Source organism: Homo sapiens, chromosome 1, assembly GCF_000001405.40.
Source record: "Homo sapiens chromosome 1, GRCh38.p14 Primary Assembly".
In the NCBI taxonomy this organism is placed as follows: domain Eukaryota; kingdom Metazoa; phylum Chordata; class Mammalia; order Primates; family Hominidae; genus Homo; species Homo sapiens.
In genome coordinates, this window is record NC_000001.11 from 182,180,215 (window position 1) to 182,196,112 (window position 15,898).

The 15,898-nt window shown below is 41.6% G+C and overlaps 1 pseudogene; it reads right to left on the reverse strand.

Annotated features, from left to right (window-relative positions):
• Positions 1,824-2,919, reverse strand: YPEL5P1 (YPEL5 pseudogene 1; annotated as a pseudogene).

Here is a 15,898-nt window from a genome sequence, read left to right on the forward strand (position 1 = left end):
GAAGGGAACAATCCAATGCTCCTTTTTTCTTTCCTTAGGGGCAGAGGTTTTTGGCACCGTTTGTATCTCCAGTGTCCTGATTCACTTCTGTGAAGAGCAAAGGCAACTGATGGATCAATGCTTGGAGCAAAATGCAGAGAATCACTTCTTTGGAAGTGATTAGCATCTGACATTCTAAAAATGGATGAGCAGAGGGATTAGCCTTTATGCAACTGGGACCCTGAAAAGCAAGTATTAGGTTGGTGCAAAAGTAATTGTAGTTTTACCATTAATTTCAATGGCAAAACTGCAGATGCTTTTGCACCAACCTATATATACATGAGCATACATAGACATTGAGGAATGTATATCACTACACAAAGCCACCAACAGCCATGTTTGTTGGAGGAAGGATCGCCAAGGATCTTTTCTGTGTCCTCTTGGGAGATACAGGAGTGGTAGAAACAGGCCCCTACATGGTGAACACACTTAACCGGTGGCATTCTGACCCTCTCACTGCCCTACCATGGCTTTCAGGCTAATTTATTGATTCTCAGTGCCTCAATTTTCTATTTTAGTGACAGAAACAGTATTGTTTATGTGCTAAACTGACTCCCTATTTACTAGCCCCGTGATTTTGAACAATTTGCTTTATTTTTCTGTGTCTCATTTTCTCATCTGTAAAATGTAGCTGCCATGACACTGATCCAACATGGTTATGATAAGGATTTAATGAACTAAGATGGGTAAAGCTCATGAATGCTGCCTGGTATATAGCAAGGGCTCAATAAATATCTTCAGTTATAGGACAATTGTACATACATACATACATATATATATACACATATATAGATATGTGTGTGTGTGTACCTATATATTTTTCTCAAATGTGACAGAACTGCTTGGTTGTCCTTTTCCATGTAACAAACATAGTAATATAAATAAAGTAATAGTTGGGAAAAAACAATCTTACAATAGTCCCATAAAGTACTGAGCCACAGAGAAGTTAAATATAATGCCCATGTTTATAGAATTCGGAATGATTGCACAGATTACACAATACTTCTTTATTTTCCTGTCCAGATCTGATAGCTTTAGGTGAAGTGGGGAGAATGAGTCATAACTGGCAGGTATCGGAGGGGGGCTAATATCTCTGGCTGCTTTGCCTTAAACACATGATTTATTCCACCCAGCAGTGGCTGAGCTGAGCCTTGAAAACAAGTTTGCCTGGTTATATCCATGCTCACTCTGCTGCTCAGCCTTCTTAGTGCCACATACGGTCAGGAACCCTCCCTCAACAGTGAGATGTTTGTGGGTTTGCTGGTTGACACTGGAAAGGAGAGTGTGGTGACAAAATGAGCTAAGGTGAGAGCAGGGTGTTTCAAAAGCAAATACTGCCTTCTTTACAAGCTTGCCAACTCTCAGAGGAAAGACTGTGATTCTGTCTTTGTGGACCATGGAAGTTCCCTGCACCTTTGTCTATTACAGGACTGTCTTGTCTTACTTATCTGAATGCCCCTAGTGCCCAGCCCAGAGCCTGGTGAATGGTCAGTGTTCCATAACTGTTGAATGGCACTAGATACCAACCATCTTAGCCCTGGAAAGAGCTTGAGTGATCTAAGTTGGAGGGAAGCTCAGAAATAATAACACCTGAACTCCTGCTGGATACAGGAATCTCCTCGCATTATAAATCAAAGAGTGTAGTGGTTTAGAGCATAGGATCTGGAAACAGACTTTCCTGGGTTTAAGTCTCAGCTCCATCATCCCAAATCCTGTAAATATGGGCAGTTTATTTAACTTCTCTGTGCCTCAATACTTTATAGGGATATTGTAAGATTTTTTTCCCAACTATTATTTTATTTATATTACTATGCTTGTTACAAAGAAAAAGACAACAAAGCAGTTCTTCCCCATTTCACAAAAAGTTTCCAATCAACACCAATTACATGGTGATAAATAACTGGAATGGTGACACCTTTGGGTCAAGACTGGCAAGGAAAATGCTATGGTTCATCTCCAACAAGAATATGGCACATTGGCCGGCACAGGTAATGCCAAAACTGAGTCCTTAGTGCTCGGCCCAGATTTGGATCTCTTCTCTGAAGGTAGCAAATCAGGTAAAATAATTGGGTTTTTAAAAAATAAGTTTAAAATGAAGCTCAAGTTAAAAACCCATGCTCTTGACATATTTCCTTTCAAATTTTATATAAAACACACTTTTCCACTCTAATAGCCCAGATTTTTTCTTTACACAGCCCATCACATGGTTGCAGACAGACTCTTCTGCCTTAAGATGTAAACATAGGGAAAAATTGATGACATCTGCATAATACTCTTTCCACACTCTGCTATTACATGGAAAATACAAAACTTTTTTTAAAAAAAGAAAGAAAGGTTCCATCTTAGATTCTCACAACCTCTTGTTCCACAGTTTATGAACCTGACTCTGATACTAAGTTGGCAGTGTGTGTAAGCAGATTTTTGTTTTCAGTGAAGGAAACCTGGAAAAAGATGGATTGAGCTCATTTTCTTCCAAGAGTTATTGAATGGTACATGCTCCTCAAAGCCCTCATTCTCTCTAACTAGAGCACATTTCAGAATCACACAGCCTTCCTTATAATGCTGGCTGTCTTCAGTGGCAAACTCACAGATCCATCCCAGTTGGCTGTTGCGGTTTTTGTAGCTCACACCTTGAACCATGTGGCAGCCAGTGAGCATGATCCGATCTTGAACTTCACCATACTGTAGGTTAACTACTTTGTGACAAAGAAACGCCCTGCTAGTGGTGCCTGTGCACCTAGTAGAGATGAGCTGAGTTCTGAGCCATTGGTCAGGATTATATCACAGTTTGCACGAGAAAACAAATGGGTACTGCCAATATAATCAAGGAAAATTCTGCCCATTTTTGGAGCTGAAATTTTAAAAACCTGCATAGGTGAGTAGAATAAAGGGGTTGCAAGAACACACCAACCCTCCCTACAGCAAGTGAAAGGTAGGACGCAACCCACAGTGGACATAACTGGGCTGGCCTGGGCTTCCCTTGATGCTGGGTTGTGATACTGTAAGATTTTAATAAGATAATATATTTAGCTTATTTAAAACAATGCCTGGTACATAGGAAGTGCTCAATAAATGCTGACCTCCTCCTCTTCCTCTTTCTTCTTCCTCCTCTTTTTCTTCCTTTTCTTTTCTCCTCCTCATCACTCCCTTCCTCTTCTTCTTCATCTGGCTTCTCCTTGGAAATCCTCAATGACAGAGATACACTGAGGCAAACCTACCTTCTCTTTATTTCCATTCATTGATGTCCAACCTGTCTTCCCATGAAGGCTTTCAGACAGCCAAAGATAGCTATTAGTACGTCCAGAACCTTCTGTAAAGTCACACATCTACACTTCTCTCTAATCATGTTTTCTCATTCCATGTGATATCCAGATTTTTTTCCATTTGTTTAAAGCCTTTTCATTGCCTATGGGTGATGCCTTAGTTGCACACGATCCTAATGCAGTTAGTTCAGGAAGAAGGAAGTGTGGGCTTTTTTCTTCTCCAACATAGGCATGATTCCAACTCAAACATAGTTTCTTGGATCTCTTTGAAGAGGTAGAGGTTATGAACACGGTATCTACCTAGCTGTTATCACTCATTATACCCACCCCAGACACACATGCACATTCACCCTGCATCTCTGCTCTTTTACTAGGGTTGAGGTATGAGCTTCTGTATGACATAACTCCTCCTTCCCCCATGATGGCTGCTGTGACACTCTGAGAGGGGACCAAATGGGTGCTGGCCATTCTGCGTTTCTTTTAGTGCCACAAAAAACTTCTTCAATACTTGAAGCAGAGTAACAGCTGTGAACTAGCAGAGTGATCCAGAAATCCCCCAAATCCTACATAGCAGCCAGTGATCCCAGGGAGACCTGGCTTGACTTAGCAGGAGGGCTCCACGGCAGAGAGTGAGTGATGCCCATTCTGAACCTGCAGTTTTAAGTCTCTGTTCCCCTGGTGCTTGGGTACTTGATGTTTACAGCTTCTCTCCTGAGCTGCGCCATTCCTCCTGTCTTGCCTCCCTGTTGTGCTCCACCCGTTGCTGATTCCTGCTTGTCTTGCCAACGTCAGCTCTCCCCAAACCTTAAAACACCTATGCTCAACAGTCTGCTTTTCTTTGTATATTTTAGGCTCTAGTACCTGATTCCCCTTCAGGCATTAAGCTCCTTCAATAATAACTAACAATTCTGGAGCAAGAATTGTCAGTGAAAAAAAATTAACATTTACTGAGCATTTACTATTTGCTAGACTAAGTGATTTACATGCAACATATCATCTAAACCTCACAAAGACCCTCTCATATAAGGTAGCTCATGTTATTGGCTATTTGTTATATGTTAATATATGTTACATGTGCTTATATATGTGTGTGTGTGTGTGGGTGTGTGTATATATATATATATATATATATATATATATATATATATATATATATATGTTATATGTTATTGGTTACAAGAAAAGAAAATGGGGGCCAGGCATGGTGGCTCACGCCTGTAATCTGAGCACTTTGAGAGGCCAACGTGGGTGGATTGCTTGAGCCCAGGAGTTCAAGACCATCCTGGCCAACATGATGAAACCCCCATCTCTACAAAAAATACAAAACCTAGCTGGGGGTGGTGGCATGCACCTGTAGTCCCAGCTACTCAGGAGGGCTGATGTGGGAGGATCATTTGAGCCCAGGAGGTGGAGGTTGCAGTGAGCTGAGATCACATCACTGCACTCCAAATCCTGTCTCAAAAAAAAAAAAAAAAAAAAAAGAAAAGAAAAGAAAAGAAAAGAAAAGAAAATGAGGCTTGAGAGGTTAGATATCTTGTACGAGGTCAACCAGCTGGTAGTGGTAGAACTGAGGTGGGTACCCAGTATCTCTGAGTCCAAACTGTAATGCTTCTCCAAACAGGAATCCTCCAGTAATTAACAATAATTCCCTCCCATGGGGCATCTTGGGATTCCAACAGGAAAGAAGAACCACTGTCAGTTATGAAGCAAGGGATTTATTATAAAATTTAGACCTTACATAATTATGGAAGAAGCAGAGAAAGTGAAGGTGCCACTGGAGAGTTGAAAGATCAGAGCAAGAGTAAGTAACAGTTATGCATGTCCTACTGCAGAAGTGAAACTGCAAAGGCAAGCTCATGGGAAGCCCATGAGAAACTGCCTCCACTGCCAATATATGGCGATAGGCCTGGACTCTCAGACCACTGTTGATCAGTGGGGTCAGGTAGGAAGATAGGTAGAATGTAGAGGAGATGACAGCAAGGACAAACTGGAACCTGCCAGCACCTCTGCATCTGTCGTCATGTCTAATCACAATGACTTTCAGAGGTAATCATGCTGCTTCACTTTAATCTTTCAAATCTCATGCACATTTCTTTTTTGACAACTCCAATCAAGAACCATATCGGTGGGGGGAACTCTGGGAAATATACTTCCAGGTTAATCAAGTTGACATATGCAAACCATCCTGCCTTAGTCTGTGTTGTGCTTTCATAAAAGAATACCTGAGACTGAGTAATGTATAAAGATTAGAAATGTATTGGCTTATGGTTCTGGAAGCTGGGAAGTCCCAGATGGAAAGGCTGGCATTTGGCAAGGGTCTTCTTGCTAAGTCATCTCATAGTGGAAGGCACAGGGGGCTGGGGACCAGGGACCAAACTCACCCTTTTAGAATGAACTCAATCCTGTAGGTTTGTATTAATCAATTCATGAGGGTGGAGCCCTCATGGCCTAATCACCTCTCACTAGACCTCACCTCTCAACACAGTTGCAATGGAGATTAAGTTACCAGCACATGGTTTTTTGGCAGGCACATTTAAACCTTAAATGTGCAAACTTCTTCCCATGTATTATCCTCAAAAGCAGCAGGGCATGTAATCTACTGGAGATTCCATGCATTATCTATGATTCTTAGGGTACAATAATGCTTACAAAATCTAAGTATTAATTGGTTCACTTGTAATTCAATAACTTAGTATGTGGCTGTTATTCATTTACTTTCTTTTTCCTATTTCAGAAGATCAGAGGAGGGCTTACCATTTTAGTGCTGACCATTAGTTTAAATAAAAAAGAAGTTAATTTTAAAAAATTCATTACAGACAGACAAGATGATAAATTTTTCCAGCATCAATGCATAGATAACAATTAATGCTTGACATAGATTCTATTTAAAACAAAATAATGTTTTAAAAAATTCTTCAGTAGTGGTATGCTAAGGATTCCAGCAAAGCCAAACAGCCTTCAGGCATAGGATGAATCATCTAATTTGTTTGTCAAGGCTCATTCAGCTGGAAAGGGCTGTACTTTCATGCAGGGAGAATTTCTAATGGCAGCTTTCTGGTAGCAGGCATCACACCACCGGAATGATATTAGCAGCTCACCACCAAAACCAGTGGGCAAACTCCTTTACAGCTGATTTATGGGTATATTAGTCAGCTCTGGCTGTCATAACAAAATATCACACACTGGATGGCTTCATAGAAATGTTTTCCCCTTAGTTCCGGAAGCTGAAAGTACAAGACTGGGGTCCCAGCATGATCAGGTTCTGACGAGGTCTCTCTTTCTTGCTTGCATATGGCTGCCTTCTTGCTGTGTCCTCCCATGATGGAAAGAGAGAGGTTGGGGTGGGGAGGAGAGAGTGCATGAGCTCTGGTATCTCTTCCTTTTCTTACCAGTGCACTAATCCCAACCCATCATGAAGACCTACCCTCGTGACCTCATCTAAACTTAATTATCTCCCATACCATCACAATGAGCACTGGAGTTAGAGCTCCTACATCTGAATTTGGTGGTGGGACACAATTCAGTCCATAGCAACAGGCATTTCAGACGGACCTGGAACCTTGAAGTTCTCAGGTTTCCTGCCAGCCTGACTGGACCCACAGTCTTTACACTGAACCCATTCTCTTCTGCCTTGGCTCAACATTCATCTCTTATTGGTTTTAATGTCACCAGGCTAAGAAATTCTCCTTCAGCCAAGAGTCTGATTTTTTTTTTTCAACATGAAAATCCCCATGGATATTTAGAGGGAAAAAAAGCAGCCTTCCATGAGTGTATGGCATAAGGCAGAAGGAGGCAGGTGCCCTGAGATGAGCAGATCTGTCCTCCACCTAGGAACACCATTCAATCACTCATTATACAATTATTTTGAGCATCTTCTCTGTACTAAGCACTGTGCTAGATGATGTGGGTACTATGGAGAATAACATAGATGACTCATATCTTGATGCAATGGACTGAATGTTCATGTCCCCCAAAATTCATATGTTGAAATCCTAATCCCCAATATTATGGTATTAGGAGGAGGGGTCTTTGGGAAGTGACTAGGTCATGAGAGTAGAGCCCTCATGAATGGGATTAGTACCTTATAAAAGACACCCCAGAGACTCTCTTACTCTCCTTCCAACAGGAGAGGATACAGTGAAAAGATGGAAAGTGTGCAACCTGGAAGAGAACCCTTGCCAGAACCTGACCATGACCACTCCAGCACCCTGATCTCAGACTTTTCAGCCTTCACAACTGTGGGAAATAAGTTTCTGCTGTTTATAAGCCACCTAGTCTATGGTACATTTGTTAGAGCTGTGCAAACTGACTAAGACACTGCACAATGCCAATTTCAGATACTCTGTCACATTTTCCAGGCTAATAAATTCTTGTCTGTTACAATTTTGTCTGCCATTGTGACTTTGGAGAAGAGAGTGACATATTTATTTCTCTATATTTTCTCCTTTCACATTCTCTCATCCTCATCCTACTATAGGCCTCTGTGGCTTCATCTAAGTAAATTAGAGAGCAGGGACCTATGCTTTATCGCCAGTTCCCTAAAACTATTTTCTTGTCATTGGCTTTTGGAAAGGCAAGACTGAAAGCAGCAATGTCCTCCTGTGGTAAAAACTGGTCACAATGTCTTACTGCCCGGAACCAGGAGATACCTCTCTCAAGTCTTTCACAGGCTCAGATTTTAAGTCTCGTTGGCAGTCTCTCCCTCTTCCTCTCCCTCTCCCTCCCTCTGCCCCTCTCTCTTTTGAGATGGAGTCTGGCTCTGTCTCCCAAGCTGGAGTGCAGTGGTGCAATCATGGCTCACTGCAGCCTGGACCTTTTGGGCTCAAGTGATCCTTCTGCTTCAGCTGCTTGAGTAGTTGGGACTACAGGCATGCACCACCATGCCTGGCTAATATTTTTTGTAGAGAGGAGGGCTCACTATGTTTCCCAGGCTGGTCTCAAACTCCTGGGCTCAAGTGATTTTCCCACCTTGGCTTCCCAAAGTGCTGGGATTACAGGCATGAGCCACTGTGCTCAGCCTGCTATCTCTCTCACTTAAAGAAACAAACAAACAAACAAACAAAAATAGAGATGGTGATGTGGATTCAGGTGGGACAGAGATCTGAAATCACCTCAGAACCAGCAATTGCTCTGATCAGAGTGACCCTACACTGACCCCTTTTCACTCAGACATTTCCAAACTCCAGCTTCTTGGAGGCAGTGGTTGGTGTAATTGGTTCTTTACTGGGATTCTAGCACAGGGGTATTCAATCTTTTGGCTTCCCTAGACCACATTGGAAGAAGAAGAATTGTCTTGGGCCACACACAAAATATACCAACACTAATGATAGCTGATAAGCTAAAAAAAATTTGCAAAAACATCTCATAATGTTTTAAGAAAGTTTATGAATTTGTGTCGGGCTGCATTCAAAGCCATCTTGGGTGACATGTGGCCCATGGGCCACAGATTGGACAAGCTTGTCTAGCAGATGGTTCAGATGAATCTTTAATTAAACACGTTTTCCAACCTCAATTTGACCTTCAGTGTCCGTTTCAATAGTACTTGTCACACTTTAATGGACCTTATTGTTGAATTGCTAGATGATGACCTTCAGCAACCAGTTGAGTTTGGAAAACATGGGCCAATCCACCATTGGTTCACCAACTGGGTCTCTCTCCTTTTTCCTAAGATAGCTACATCAAACCTTCTCTGTTCTTCTCAAAGGTTGATACCCTTTTACCATCTAAAAATAGTCAGGTCATTCATCCAAGAATGATCAGATCACTCTGCCCTTAGAGCTCTTCTGCAGCTCCCCATTGACTTGGGATAGAGCTCTGCTCAGCACCTGCACTCCCCTGGCCTCTAACAGCTTCAGCTCTGTATGCCTCTCTAGTCTTGCCTCTGTCACTTCCTAACAATGTGCTCTGTGCTTACTTCAGTCTTTGCAACTCATCAAGTTCTTGCCTCTAGGCTTTCATCCCAATGTGCTGCTGCTTTAATTTAGTATGATCCTCAACTTCCCCACACCCTAGCTGGCCTTCAGGTATCATTTTTCTTGCACTTCATGCAGGAAGACTTCTCCCCCTTCTTTCAATAGGCTAATTATCCATGGTATGTGCTCCTATCACACACTGAACTTCCTTTTCAACAGCACTCGTCACACTTTACTGGATCTTATTGTTGAATTGCTAGATGATGAGCTCTACTAGTTGATGAGCTTCCAGTAGGCAGGGATTGCATTGTTCTCTGATGCGTCCCTACTGCCGAATAGAGAGCTTTACACACAGGAGGCAATCACTACACAACCAACTCAGTGAATGGACTAATCATGCAGGATCACAGAAAGTTTGAAAAATTGTGGCAAAAATCACTCATAATGCCATTATGAGTGATAATAGGACCATTTTCATTTTCACTTATTTCCTTCTCTTCCTCCTCCCACCAAATATTCATGTCTTTAAAGAGTTGCAGTCATTATGCACTTATAATGTGGTTTTTTGCTTCTAACTTCACATTTTTACTAAGTTACACATAATGAGACTTAAGCATTGGAGCTCATCTTTGTCCTACAAGCAGCACAGGTCTCTGTCAGAAGAAATGTAAATAAGAGGGAAAAGAATACATGTGATACATTATCGCATTTATTCTAGGTTGTGCTCTGACTTTTCCCAAACTCTGGACAAACAGGCATGGACTCTATGTAGGGTAACAACTTCTATGGCAGGCTTGGATTTGTACATGGTCTGTAACAAGACAAAAATGTAAGGTACCTTCAAATAATTTGATTTTCTCCCTTCCTCCCATCCTCTCTTTCACTCATTTTAAAAAATGATAAAAAACTACTCAACTGCATAGATAGGTTCTTTCAGGTTAGGGAGGAACTATGGAGTTGAGCAGCCCTAGATTTTAAATACTGTCCCTTTGCCTGCTAACTTCGGGAAACTCACACCCTCTAAGCTTCAGTTTTCTTATTTGTATAATGAGGACAGTAGTAGTACCTGCCTCATAGTGGGGCTATGAAGTGTAAATGAAGTCATGCATATGAAGTGCTGAGCACAGTGCTTGGCACATAGTAAGTGCTCAATAAATGATAGTTATTTTAGTTTTTATCCATAAGCAGATGGATCTCCCCAACATTTCTCAGGAAACTAACCACTGTTAAGTGAATAGATCTCTGATGTTCTTACACTATAGAGAGGACACCATATAAAAACTGCTGAAGTGAAGAGCAGCTTGAACACAAATACCTGCAATCCAGATCATCTGTCCCTTCTCTGTCTATGCAGGCTCATATGTTAAACCACTGTCCAAGGCACATCTTCCTGGCTGGGGGACACTCTTGCTGCCCCTTAGTTTCACTCGCTCTGAGAAAAGGCTGCCTGTCTCCAAACTTATTCTTCAAATTGGATGAAAATCCTACAAGTTCTTTTCAGTGATGTGATAACAGTCTCACAGATTGAAACATTATTTATTTATATTATTGATGGAGTACTTTTCCTATTCAACTCTAAAATGCATGCACACACAACAGAGTTTCACTTTGGAATAGCTGTTGCTCTTTTGCTCCCTTCACATGGCTAGGTCAGTTCATAAAGGCAATCTTTTTTTTTTTTTTTTTTTTTGAGACAGAGTCTCATCCTGTTGCCCAGGCTGGAGTGCAATGGCATGATCTTGGCTCACTGCAACCTCCGCCTCCTGGTTCAAGTGATTCTCCTGCCTCAGCCTCCCAAGTAGCTGGGATTACAGGCATGCACCACCACCCCTGGGTAATTTTTTGTGTCTTTAGTACAGACAGGGTTTCACCATGTTGGCCAGGCTGGTCTCGAACTTCTGACCTCATGATCTGCCTACCTCGGCCTCCCAAAGTGCTGGGATTACAGGTGTGAGCCACTGCACCCGGCCTAAAATAATTATATCTTAAGATAGAAAGAAACTGTATGATACAGCCTCTGTTTCAGTATGGGGGAGAAAAATCATGTTCCTTCTTTCTACTGTGTTTAATGTGTTCATTAAACACACATTTACAGAGAAATTCTTGGAAGTCAGGATGAAAGGATAAAGGAATGCAAAGCACAGCCTTAAGATCTCAGAGCCAAGTGAGAGAGCCATGCATTCACAGTAAACTATCTTCATGTGAAAAATGCTATGTTTGGAGCTGGTATATAGTAAAAAGAGAACTCAGTTAAGAATGCTATTATCTTATTTACCAAATTTAAAATGCTATTGATAAGAAGATGAACTCCAATTTTAGAAATGGTGTCTTAGGTCAAGTTTCCCAGAGATAGACCCTGAGACCAACATTCATGTGCAACTGATTAATTAGGAAGGGCTCCCAGCAGAACCCAATAAGGGAATAAGGAAAGCAGGCCAGGGAAGGGGAGGAAGCCAAGCAAAGTCCCAAGACAGCAGCTGCAGCCTGATTCCCCAGGGGGAACTCTGGGGTGGAAGTTGCATCTCAGAGTCTGTCCTGATTTGGGGCAAGGAACTGGACTTTCATACTTCTGCACTAGTCCTGGGCCAAGGATGCCCGGGGACATTATATTTTCAGCTCTCTGCTCTGGGCAGCCCTAGAGCAGTCTTTTGAAGAGAATAGCAAGGGCAGGCAGTTGGAAGCAGAAGCCCACATTTATATGAGGAAAGGTGCACAGAAATCTACAAAGAATCCAAGAGGATCTGGGCAGAACACCAACAATGTTTGCTACAGAAGATAGGATGTGAACAAATGTGCATCTTAAAAACAATGGAATAGCAATGGAGGAAATGGGCATCAGTGTAGGCTTCACGGAGGAAGTCAGGTGGCCTTGAAAGGATCGGCAGAAGAAATGCTTCAGTCAGGGGGAATATGGTGAGCAAAGTGAGAGGATCAATGTGAAACCAATGAGAAGACAGAAGGGACAGCCCCATGAGTAGATTGCTATCATTGGCTGTGGCCAACTTCTGAGGCAGAGAAGCTGAAGCCACCTTAGAGGGACTTTCTGTTGGAAACGCTGATTGGTTGATTCTTACTCTGACCCAGGGTCATTTCTTGAGTCCTTTGTGGCCAGCTTCTACTCCAAGGTGACATGCCACAACCAGGGCAGGATGATGGTGGCTGAAGCAGAGCCCCCAATTGTAGGCTCTGGTAGAGCTGGGAGGGCTAAGTTAGCCATGCAAAAAGTTTCAACTTTGTCCTATAAGGTCCAGGGAATCTTGGAAGGCTTCTAAACTAAGGAGTGATATAATCTGACCTGTGCTTAAAAAGGGTGACCCTGGCTAAGATGCCTGCACATTTTCTTTACTAGAATGGGTACTTTTCTTTTTAACCTTTACTGTGGGACTTCACTCCCAAAAGACATCTTTCTGTCCCTATCTGTCTTAATGTCCTTGGACTGCCATAACAGAATATATCACATACTGGGTGGCTTAAAAAACAAATTTATTTTTATACAGTTCTAGAGGCTATAAGTCTGAGATCAGGGTGCCAGGTCAGGTTCTGGTGAGGGTCCTCTTCCTGGTCTGTGGATGACCACCTTCTCCATGTGTGTTCATGTGGCTTTTCCTCGGTGTGGGTGAGCAGAGAGAGAAAGAGACAGACAGACAGACAGAGACATACAGAGAGAAAGTGAGAGCACCTTCCTGTCTCTCTTCCTCTTCTTCTAAGGACACTAACTGTGTCAGATCAGGGCCCTACCCTTATGGATGTATTAGTTCATTCTCACGCTGCTATGAATAAATACCCAAGACTGGGTAATGTATAAAGGAAAGAGGTTTAATTGACTCACAGTTCCATATGGCTAGAAAGGCCTCAGGAAACTTACAATCATGGCAGAAGCTGAGGGGGAGGCAGGCACCTTCTTCACATGGTGGCACGCGAGAGAATGAGAGCTGAGTGAAGCTAACAAAACCATCAGATCCTGTGAGAACTCACTCACTATCATGAGAACAGCATGGGGGAAACTGCCCCTATGATTCAGTTATCTCCACCTTGTCCCACTCTTGACACGTGGGGATTACACGATTCAAGGTGAGATTTGAGGTGGGGACACAGAGTCAAACCGTATCACTTCCTTTAGCCATAATTGCTTTTGTAAAGGCTCTATCTCCAAATACAGTCACATTGGGGGTTAGAGCTTCAACATATGAATTTTTAGAGGACACAAATGTTCAGCCTATAGCATCATCCCATAGATTTCTTAAATAGTTGGAAATATCCCAGAGACTTACATGCATCAGGACTCATAACAGCAGTCAAGGCTTAGCAACAGCAGGTAAATTCAAGAGTTACTTCAGCCCAGCTATTGACCTCATGTGATTATCTTCTTTAACCTATCCAGACCATCAGTTTATCTCAGTTAAATTTGTACTGCCATGGCACATATATTGGGAAAAAAAATGTGCTACTTAGATTTCCCAAGGAATTTGTATTTCATCTCCTAAAGCTGACACTGGGAGTTTATCAGGTCCAGAGTTCAAATTCTGGCTTTCCAACTGATCATTATAGAGCTGGCTTCCTTGCTGGCTTTAGCATCTGGAGTTGCAACAGATACCTCGGTGCCTGAAACATGTTTATGAAATCTATGAAACCACAAGCCAGCTGTCCAGTTCCAATGTGAAGCAATAGATACTCTTGGGCTACAGTGCCTTGGTTGTAGCACGTCACCTTGGAGGAGGAGCTGGCCTCATCAGACACAAGAAATGAGTCTCAGGTCCCATGAAATGGCTCATGCTTGTATACCAACACTTTGGGAAGCCCAGATGGGAGAATCGCTTGAGGCTAGGAGTTCAAGACAAACCTGGGCAACAAAGCAAGAGCCTATCTCTACAAAATTGAAAAAATTAGCTGGGCATGGTAATGCGCTCCTGTAGTCCCACCTACTAGAGAGGCTGAGGTGGAAGGATTGCTTGAGCCCAGGACATTGATGATGCAATGAGCTATGATGGCACCACTACACTCCAGCCTGGGGGACAGAGAATGACCCTGTCTCTAAAATTAAGAAAAAAAGAGAAAGAAATGAGTCTAAGGCAAAGTAAAGAGCAACCAGTTTCCAACAGAAGGTCCTTCTAAGGTGGAAATTAAGGCAAAAAATGTAAAAAAAAAAAAATAGATTTTATAAACATTTTTACTTCAGCTTTGTTGGTTTAGCCTAATAACTTTCCTATCTTTTTTAACAGATTTCTTTAAATTAAGCATATTTGCAATTCAAATAGCAAAAACACTACGTAGCTATTAATTAGTACATACACTTGATCTATAATAAATTCTTAAACACTAAATAACCAAACACTAAATATAGAAAACACTAAATAGCCAAAATGAGACCATCTCCATCCAAAAACATAAATAAAAACCAGACATACCCTGTAAACAATATTCTGCATTATTCCTTTTCTCCAAAACTATATTTAAGTTTGGTTCTTGATATTTTTCACTATGTTCTCCCAACTGTTGTGTGGGTTCAGCCATGCTTTAAAAATATAGGTTTTTTCAGATCTTTTTCTGATTACAAAAGCATATATTTTTATGTCAAGAAATTTAAAAAATTTAGATAAGCATAAAGAATAAAACATCTATAACCACGGTTAACATTTTGCTGCCTTGTTTTTAATTTCTACATGTAACACTCACTCATTTATTCATTCATTCATTCATTCATTCATTCATCATTTACTCATGTTTCCAACAATTACATTTATTGAGCTCTCAAGAGGAGCTTACATTCTAGTGGAGAGAGGGAAAAATGAACTGGTAAATCAAAAGATAAAAGACAGGGTAGTGATGAGTTCTATGGTAAAAACAAAGCAGGTGATATGGTATCAAGTACTACTTAAGTTGAAACCTGAATGATAAGAAGAATCTAGCTTTGTGAAGATCTTAAAAAAGAACAGTCCAGGCTGGAGGGACAGCTGGTACAAAGCCTTAGAAATACAAGTACCCTTTAGCCAGAAATCCCGCTTGTAAGAATGTGCTTGTAAGTATGCAAAGAAATCATTATATGGATAACAGATATATATATAGATGATAGCTAGCTAGATAGATAGATATAACCACACTCTTGTTTATAGTAACAAATGGATACAAATAATCTATCACTGGGAATTTGTTGAATACTTCATGGTGCTTCCATAAAATGGATCATCTTCCAGTTGCTAAAAAATGAACTGGGTCTTTCTCTACATGCTGACATGGAAAGATCTCCAAATGCCAACTCAGGATCCCAAGCTGCTTGTGTCCAGTGGTTCTGCCATTCACTAAAGCCTCCTTGAAATCCTCCACTGAGTTCCTGCATTTGGTTCTCCAACCAGCAGAGAGAGAGATTATGAGGAGGTTGCAAAAGAAGGTTCAGAAGCCAGGCCTGGATGGGGTACACATCATGTCTACCCACATTCTATGAAGTCTCATGGCCCCACCTACATGATTGGGAGGCTAGGAAATGTGGAGGAGCACTTGTGTATTAGTTTCCTATTGCTGCTGTAACAAATGTAGTGGCTTGAAACAACCTAAATGTATTCTCTTACAGTTCTATAGTTTGGAAGTCCAACATGGATCTCACTGGCTCAAATCAAGGTGTTGCCAGGATGGCATTTCTTTTGGAGGCTTTAGGTTAGAATCTGTTTCGTTGTATTTTTCAGCTTCTAA